Consider the following 9,731-nt stretch of genomic DNA (forward strand, 5'->3'; position numbering starts at 1 on the left):
CTGCTTTCCCAAATACCAGATAGGGAAAGGTCCCAAACAGCAGCAAGATTCAGGACTATTGTTGCAAAGTAAATGTGGTTCTTGGATCGATATAAATATCTGGAGACTCTGAAAAAGGCCAAGTGCTTTACTTCAGATAGTTGATGCTTGAGAGCAAACTGCACACAGTCCTTTTGAAGTCAACAGTTTATCAGGGCATTACAGATACACACTTCTTGGGCCTTCGCGAATACACTCATTGAGAGGCAATTTGATGTTATATCTTTGTCTTCTCTAGAGAACGTTATCACACAGATGTCGATTTGGGTAGTGTTTTTATAATTTTGCAAATGAATTATTGCACATTGCATCTACTGTCACTCATAAAAGCCCACACAATATTCCTTGAATTTTAATTCGAGAAGTAGCAGGGGATCAGGGGAAGGAAGAGATTCACCCCTAGGAATAAATGTGTATGTTTTCTCTTATCAGCAAAAAGTATATCTATGTAGGTAAATAATGAAGACAGAATTATACACCTTTTAAGAGTTATGTTTTTGTTGTTGTTGTTGTTGTTGTTGGCTTTGAACAGAGTCTCACTCCGTTACCCAGGCTGAAGTGCAGTGGCACAATCTCGGCACACTGCAACCTCCGCTCCTGGATTCAAGCTATTCTCCTGCCTCAGTCTTCCGAGTACCTGGGATTACAGGCACGTGCCAACACACCTGGCTAATATTTTGTATTTTAGTAGAGACAAGGTTTCACCATGTTGCCCAGGCTGGTCTCAAACTCCTGAGCTCAGGCAATCCGCCCGCCTCTGCTTCCCAAACTGCTAGGATTACAGGCGTGAGCCACCACTCCTAGCCGAGTCATGTTTTCAACCCATAAGAGTTCATAGGTAAAGGATATATACATATATATATATATATATAGCCATCAACAAATGTTGACCTAAATTTACAACTCAAGCTTCCCAAACTACTCAATATGAGCGCTCAGGAGTACCAAATTCTTCAGGGTTTTCTGATGGACTTTGTCTTCATTTATTCTTTATGTTTTATGTTGTGCCTTGTCTTCATTTGAGCGTTGCCTCACAGTCTTTTGGTTTTCAGCTGACACAAACATCAAATTAGTGAGAAGGAAAGTCTTTTGTTGGGGCTGTTTATGCCTGGTCTCTTTGAGAGTCTCAAGTGTCCTGGGGTGTCCAGAAGCCATTTTCTCAGTTATGTTTCTCAGGACACAATTCTGAGACATAAGGAGGCCTAACTGCCAAACTCCTCTTTGGGCTTCCTGCCATGGATTGTATTTCATTTCTAGATAATACAGCGAAAATAGAGCCATCCATACATTGCAGTATCATAGGGCTCAATGACTCATTAGACCTATGAAGAAAAAGGACACAAAAGGAAAAACATAAATAAATGCAAAAACTATATTCTGAATGATTTGGTTCAGTGGATAACAATAATTAAAAGGTGAGCTCACTTGATGAATTTGGGGGAACAACCAAAAGATCATCAAAATTGTAGATGACTCAGAAATAGATTAAAAACAGACCTAACAGGTCACAGAATCTGAATTTCTCCTCTCCACCTTCTAAACATGCCTCGCGATTTTCTTAACCACCAAATCTTTCTCCTGATCATAGACAACTCTCACCCAGGTTGTCAACATATATAAAACTGGTTAAAATGATGAGAGGTCTTCAAATTTATTCAGAGTAAATGCTGCTTTAAAAATGGTCATGCAGCATTGAAAAACGATCATGTGGAAAAAACATACTTGGACTGAAGTGAGACTATATAACCTGTCTGATTTGGGTACAAAACAGTCTTATTTCTTCCACCTTGGTCACAGTGACAATGATAATATTATTATTTTATGGATTTTCTGGACATCTTCCATATGCACAGTTGGATGGTTATTTGATGCATTTATTTTTCTGAGTAGCTGATATTAAGTCAATTCTTGCTCTTGCTACATGAAACTAAGAGCTTTTCTTTCACAGTCACATACCACGGGCTCTGGCTAACCAGCATGCAGGGTCACAGTCAGGTCAAAGAAGCATCCTAAACCCAATTGTGTCTTAATTTTAGAAAATGGAAAAGATCAATATACTCCATGTAGAAGAATAGTGTATTAGTCTGTTTTCATGCTGCTGATAAAGACATACTCGAGACTGGGAAGTAAAAGAGGTTTAATTGGACTTACAGTTCCAAATGGCTGGGGAGGCCTCAGAATCATAGTGGGAGGCAAAAGGCAGTTCTTACATGGCAGTAGCAGGAGAAAATGAGGAAGATGTAAAAGCAGAAACCCCTGATAAAACCATCAGATCTTATGAGACTTATTCACTACCACAAGAACAATATGGGGGAAACCGCCCCCGTGATTCAAATTATCTCCCACCGGGTCCCTCCCACAACATGTGGGAATTATGGGAGTACAATTCAAGATGAAATTTGGGTGGGGACACAGAGCCAAACCATATCAAATAGGTAGGTACATCATGGACCCTGCATGAAAGAGAGTATTCTACAGATTTTAAGAGTCATGTTTTTAACCCATTTCAGTTCATGAGTAAATGATCAAAAATACAATATTGACACATAAAGGCTATTGGTACCATCTATATATTAATTAAGTTTTTAGAGATATATATATCTTTAAGGATAGATTGATAGATAGACAGACAGATAGATAGATAGATAGATCTATATATGCCCCTCATTATACTCTCTCTTGTTTATCTGCCACCATACATAGAAAGAGAGACACAGAGAGAAGGTGAAGAAGAAGGTGAGGGAAGAGGAGGTACGGGAGAGGAAGAGAAGGAGAAGGGGGAAAGAGGTGATAATTTTTAAAAAGCTGCAGTGCAATGCAAAAAAAAAAGCACCAGCACCTACAGAAAACAAACACCCACTTTAATTTTTCCCAGTGGTGGAATTGATTGTTCTGGGACCTGAGTAAAAGAGCAGGGATGTCTCTGTCTATTCTCTCTCTCGAGTCAGTCAGTGTGATGCTGCTGGCCTGTGTTTGTGTTTGAATGAGGAAAGACCTTCACTCTAGTAATGACCTAGCAGTTAGCTTGGAGGACCCTGGACATATTTGTCCAGTTCCATTCAATACTCCCATAAAGTGCCTGTGGTATTATATTAGTTTGCTTTCATGCTGCTGATAAAGATATGCCTGAGACTAGGAAGAAAAAGAGGTTTAATTGGACTTATAGTTCCACAAGGCTGGGGAAGCCTCAGAATCTTGGTGAGAAGTGAAAGGCACTTCTTACATGGCAATGGCAAGAGAAAAATGAGGAGAAGCAAAAGCAGAAACCCTGGATCTCACGTCAGATCTCATGAGACTTATTCACTATCATAAGAATAGCAAGGGAAAGACCGGCCCCCATGATTCTATTACCTCCCCCTGGGTTCCTCCCACAACATGTGAGAATTCTGGGAGATGCAATTCAAGTTGAGGTTTAGGTGGGGACACAGCCAAACCATATCATTCCACCCCTAGCCCCTCCAAAACCTCACATTTCAAAACAAATCATGCCTTCCCAACAGCCCCACAAAGTCTTAACTCATTTCAGCATTAACCAAAAAGTCCACAGTCCAAAGTCTCATCTGAGACAAGGCAAGTCCCTTCTGCCTATAAGCGTGTAAAATCAAAAGTGAGCTAGTTACTTCCTAGATACAATGGGGGTACAGGTATTGGGTAAATACAGCCATTCCAAATGGGAGCAATTGGCCAAAACAAAGGGGTTACAGTGCCCATGCAAGTCCAAAATCCAGTGGGGCAGTCAAATTTTAAAGCTCCAAAATGATCTCCTTTGACTCCAGGTCTCACATCCAGGTCACGCTGATGCAAGAGGTGGGTTCCCATGGTCTTGGGTGGCTCCGTCCCTGTGACTTTGCAGGGTACAGCCTCCCTCCTGGCTTTCATGGGCTGGCGTTGAGTGTCTGCAGCTTTTCCAGGCCCACGGTGCAAACTGTCAGTGGATCTACCATGATGGGGTCTGGAGGATGATGGCCCTCTTCTTACAGCTCCACTAGGCAGTGCCCTAGTAGGAACTCTGTGTGGGGGCTCCAACCTGACATTTCCCTTCCACACTACCCTAGCAGAGGTTCTCCATGAGGGTCCCACCCCTGCAGCAAACATTTACCTGGGCATCCAGGCATTTCCATACATCTTTTGAAATCTAGTGAAGCTTTCAAAACCTCAATTCTTGACTTCCGTGCACCTGCAGGCACAACACCACGTGGAAGCTGCCAAGGCTTGGAGCTTCCGCCCTCTGAAGCCACAGCCCAAGCTGTACGTTGGCTCCTTTCAGCCAGAGCTGGAGTGGCTGGGACACAGGGCACCAACTCCCTAGGCTGCACACAACACAGGGACCCTGGGCCTGGCCCATAAAATACACGTTTTCCTCCTGGGCTAGAGATAACTAGATGAAGCCAGTACCTGGAATAAACATATTCTTTGTCATATTTTTTCTTATGTCTTAGTGACATAAAACTAGACATTTAGTGGTACTTAGGCAAACAGTTGAATAAACAACTAGCAATTAGCAGGAAAACTGGTTGAACATAGAAAGTTTAGTAACCATTCTAGTCAACTCTGTGTTCTTATTTTTTTTGGATTGTTGACTAGGTACTATGGATACAGTAACTAGAGTTACCTGGGTAAGAGTTAAATACAGAATCCTCCATAAAACTAGAATAACTGGTTAAAGACAAGTATAAAATTTCATTCTTCTCAACATTTCTCATTTCTTGTTGGAATAATGAGTTAGTTCTGTTAATGTGTAGTAGTACCTAGGTTACTACAAATCAAGAACTAGGAAGAGATGACTAGACTAGGATAAGTATTTGACACCAGATGGTGAAAAAAAAAAAACCAGTGTTTTCAAATAGAAACTCTTATTTCCTGTGTGATTAATGAGTTAGAATTAGTACTGGAGCTATCTCTATGAGATGTGGATTTCATTTTGGGGGGTGGTACATACTCAACAGATGAAATTTTGGGTCATATGGTAGTTCTATTTTGATTTTCCAAGGAACCATTATACTGTTTTTCATAATGTACCAATAACATTTCTGCCCTGTAAGGGTCCCCTTTTCTGCACAACCTAAAAGGGTTTCACTCTCTCCACACCTTTGCCATCATTACTTTTTATCTCTTGACTTTTTGCTAATACCCGTCCTAACAGGTGTGAGGTGATAGTTCATTGTGGTTCATTTGCATTCTCTGATTATTAATGATGTTGAGCACATTTTCATAAACCTGTCAGCCAGTTGTGGGTTTTCTTTCGAGAAATGTCTATTAAAGTCCTTTACCTATTCGTAAACCAGACTATTTTTTTTTTTTTTTTTGCTATTGAGCTGTATGAGTTCTTTATATACTTTGGATATTAACTCGTTATTAGATATATGGTTCACAAATAGTTTCTCCCAAACCATACCCTGCCTTTTCATTTTGTTGATTGTTGACTGTGCAGAAGCTTTTAGTTTCCAGGCTGCTCACTTGCCCTACATATTTCAGCTTCCTAGACCCCCACAATGTGTGAATGTGTGAGCCAATTGCTTAGAGTAAAGCATATCGTATATAATATTATTCATAAATAAATACCATACAATAGTAAATAGATGTTTATGACATATATTACACACACACACACACACACACACACACACACACTCACACAAATATCCTGTTGGCTTAGTTTCTCCTTCTCTGAGGAACCCAGCCTGATACAAATACCCAGCTGAGCGAGTGTCTTTGCTGATCTTCACCGCCTGAAGCCAGTGCTTTAAACCATGAGAATGAAACATTGAGGGGCACTATGTGGACACTGGGAGAAGGAAGTGAGATGGAAAAGTTCTTTGATTGCATCCAAGAAGTGAATGGTCCTCAAGGTGCAGCAGAGGAATTTGTAGGAGAGAGGGATGATTGATTGACGGCTTTTTTTTTTTTTTTTTTTTTTTGAGGCAGAGTTTTGCTCTTGTTGCCCAGGCTTGAGTGCAATGGCGCTATATTGGCTCACTGCAACCTCTGCCTCCCGGGTTCCAGCGATTCTCCTGCCTCAGCCTCCTGAGTAGCTGGGATTATGGGCATGCGCCACCATGCCTGACTAATTTTGTATTTTTCGTAGAGATGGGTTTTCTCCATGTAGGTCAGGCTGGTCTCAAACTGCCGACCTCAGGTGATCCAGCCACCTTGGTCTCCCAAAGTGCTGGGATTACAAGCGTGAGCCACTGTGCCTGGTCAACTGACGTCTTCATATAGCCCTCCGTCTATCCCAGTTAGCATGGAGGGATTTTAGGTAGGTCATACAGAAACCGGGTAATGATGGCAGGTGTGGAGGAACAGAATGTACCACTGAATGGGAGGTCCGGGGGAAACATGTGGCGGAAATATCCTCCCGTGCCACGTGATCTGCCAAAATTGAACACGGGGAGTTTAGGAGGGGTGACATGTCAGTTTGGGAACTATCTTTAGGGGTGCTAACCCAAATCTCCCTTTCTCCAATTAGAGCACCCTGCCTTCCTCATTAGATGTCACCCCCCCCCCCGCCCCCGACTTCATCCGCCATGTCCTGATGGTGCTTTGTGACGTATAAGGCCTTCCTTCCCGCCCAGGGCGACCATTGGCTGGGTAGTGGAGTGTTGACCAATCACAGCTCAGGGGCGTGATTGTCTCGTCCTGGGATCGCGAGAGGGGTATATACAGGGAGGCCAGGCAGCCTGGAGTTAGCCGACCGTTGCGAGACGTTGAGCTGCGGAAGATGAGTCCAAAGCCGAGAGCCTCGGGACCTCCGGCCAAGGCCACGGAGGCAGGAAAGAGGAAGTCCTCCTCTCAGCCGAGCCCCAGTGACCCGAAGAAGAAGGTGAGTGACCCTCCCAAGCTCCTCCTCGTCTTCCCCTCGCCTCCTTCCTCACAAGAAGCCTCTCCTGTCCTCACTTGGCACAACCCCCCAACCCGGCCCCCACCGCTTCTGAGGACACGTCCCTGTTCCCAGCCTCCTCCATCCTCGTCCCTAAACCGGAGCCCTTCTGTGATCTCCCTGTTGTCCTTCCAGACTACCAAGGTGGCCAAGAAGGGAAAAGCAGTTCGTAGAGGGAGACGCGGGAAGAAAGGGGCTGCGACAAAGATGGCGGCCGTGACGGCACCTGAGGCGGAGAGCGCGCCAGCGGCACCCGGCCCCAGCGACCAGCCCAGCCAGGAGCTCCCTCAGCACGAGCTGCCGCCGGAGGAGCCAGTGAGCGAGGGGACCCAGCACGACCCCCTGAGTCAGGAGGCCGAGCTGGAGGAACCACTGAGTCAGGAGAGCGAGGTGGAAGAACCACTGAGTCAGGAGAGCCAGGTGGAGGAACCACTGAGTCAGGAGAGCGAGGTGGAAGAACCACTGAGTCAGGAGAGCCAGGTGGAGGAACCACTGAGTCAGGAGAGCGAGGTGGAGGAACCACTGAGTCAGGAGAGCCAGGTGGAGGAACCACTGAGTCAGGAGAGCGAGATGGAAGAACCACTGAGTCAGGAGAGCCAGGTGGAGGAACCACCGAGTCAGGAGAGCGAGATGGAAGAACTACCGAGTGTGTAGACGGCCAAGTACTCCCCTATCTCCGAGAGCAGCGACTAAGTTCAGGCCCAGCCGCCAGACCTCAGAGATCTCACCAGCGGGGTGCTTGCCATTCTGAAGATAATAAAATGAATGTGTTGCAAATTGATCTGAGTGACTCTGTGTTCTCTGATGGTGGGGAGGGAGGGAGGGAGGGAGGAAGAGGTGGTGTGTGGGGAGGGAGGGAGGGAGGAAGAGGTGGTGTGTGGGGAGGGAGGGAGGAAGAGGAGGTGTGTGGGGAGGGAGGGAGGGAGGAAGAGGTGGTGTGTGGGGAGGGAGGGAGGAAGAGGTGGTGTGTGGGGAGGGAGGGAGGGAGGAAGAGGTGGTGTGTGGGGAGGGAGGGAGGGAGGAAGAGGTGTGTGGGGAGGGAGGGAGGGAGGAAGAGGTGGTGTGTGGGGAGGGAGGGAGGGAGGAAGAGGTGTGTGGGGAGGGAGGGAGGGAGGGAGAGGAGGTGTGTGGGGAGGGAGGGAGGAAGAGGTGTGTGAGGAGGGAGGAGGAAGAGGTGGTGTGTGGGGAGGGAGAAAGGAAAGAAGGAAGGAACAAGTGGTATGTGGGGAGGGAGGGAAGTGGGGTCCCGTGGGGTTGAGGTCAGGGGGACAGGTCACAGTTAGCCAGACAGGAGGATAAGGATTGCGTCATGGCTGAGCACTGGAGACAAATTTCCCCTTCACAGGATGACTCCGCTTCTTACACGGTTTGTTTCTTCATGCAATCTTGCTAGCACATACACCAAGTACCAAGAACTGGATTCTACCTACTTAGGTTTCACTGTCAAAATACCTTTTCGGTTATAGAAACCTATGGAAGAATCGTTTCCATCTCTTTCCTTTCAGCGTCCCCTCCCTACAATCTAATATAATTAAGAAGAAAAATTCAAAGTAGAGAAAAATCTATCTACTTGAAAAAAGCCTTTTTATTTTTGCAACTCAGGAGACAGAAAGTACAATTCATATTTCCATACATTAGAAATACACAGGTCTTTTCTACATCTAGTAGAATTTACTATATACAAATATATGTAAATTTTTATATAAATAAAATATACAACTATATTTACTATAGACAAACAGATTATATGTTTACATATAAAATATATACATATAGACAAAATATGGAATATATATTTATATATAAAATATATAAGTATAAATAAATGTAAATATAGATTATACACATTAGAAATACACAACTCTTTTTTGTACATAGTAGAACCTATTATGTATATTTATATATTAATATATCTTATGTTTTTATATTTAGATTACATATATAAATATTTATATTCTATATATTATATATAAAACATTAAACATATATTTATATTTATAAATAATATATCAATATAGACATCAAATCTATATATGAAACCTATCTATAAATATAAATACATGAAAATAGATATATATAAATATATATAAAATATATATTCTATATGTGATCATTTATTTTAGAAGGTAAGGTGTTGTGATTGTTGAAGCATCCTTCACAGATTAAAAAAAGAAAGGAAATTATCATTTTAAGAAAAATAAAATAAAAATAAAAAATAAATAAAGTACAAAATTCCCAGTTGTCAATAATTACAATGAGAGAATAATATAGAACTTGCTATATATAGAAAGTATTTCTATATATATTTCTAATATATATATTATGTATATAGTATTTCTAATGTGTATATATGTAATGTACATTTATATATATAATTATATAAATGCACAGATCTTTTCTATATATAGTATAATGCACTGCTGTATTTCTAATGTGTTATATATATTAAACCTATATTTATATATATTTATATAAATACACAGGTTTTATACATATTTATATAAATACACAGGTATTTATATAAACATATAAACACACAGGTCTTTTCTATGTATAGTAGAATTTTGTATAGTAGAATTTATGATACATTTAGAAAAGACCTGTGTATTTCTATATTTATATTTAGAAAAGACCTGTATATTTCTAATGGATATATATATAGTTTGTATTTATATGTATATTTATAGATAAATATATAATCTCTATATATTTATATATCTATTTCTATGTATTTACATTTAGATAGAGATCTATTTCACATATAGATTATATAAATATATTCTATGTAAATATATAAATACATATATAAATATGT

General features: G+C 42.0%; 1 protein-coding gene across 3 annotated transcripts; it reads left to right on the forward strand.

Annotated features, from left to right (window-relative positions):
- The first annotated feature begins 5,815 nt into the window (after positions 1-5,815).
- On the forward strand, positions 5,816-7,697 carry VCX (variable charge X-linked). 3 transcript variants are annotated; one of them, NM_013452.3, is made up of 3 exons: positions 5,816-5,888; positions 6,612-6,859; positions 7,052-7,697. In NM_013452.3, exons 2-3 carry the CDS (start codon positions 6,758-6,760, stop codon positions 7,568-7,570), a joined length of 621 nt encoding a protein of 206 aa, NP_038480.2. In that variant the 5' UTR covers positions 5,816-5,888; positions 6,612-6,757; the 3' UTR covers positions 7,571-7,697. The 3 variants fall into 3 exon arrangements, with proteins under 3 accessions (NP_038480.2, XP_011543792.1, NP_001380591.1); XM_011545490.4 differs by lacking the exon at positions 5,816-5,888 and having other exon boundaries at positions 7,052-7,486; positions 7,547-7,697; NM_001393662.1 differs by lacking the exon at positions 5,816-5,888 and having other exon boundaries at positions 6,725-6,859.
- Positions 7,698-9,731: the final 2,034 nt, after the last annotated feature.

The sequence above is a fragment of the Homo sapiens genome, chromosome X (assembly GCF_000001405.40).
Source record: "Homo sapiens chromosome X, GRCh38.p14 Primary Assembly".
Taxonomy (NCBI): domain Eukaryota; kingdom Metazoa; phylum Chordata; class Mammalia; order Primates; family Hominidae; genus Homo; species Homo sapiens.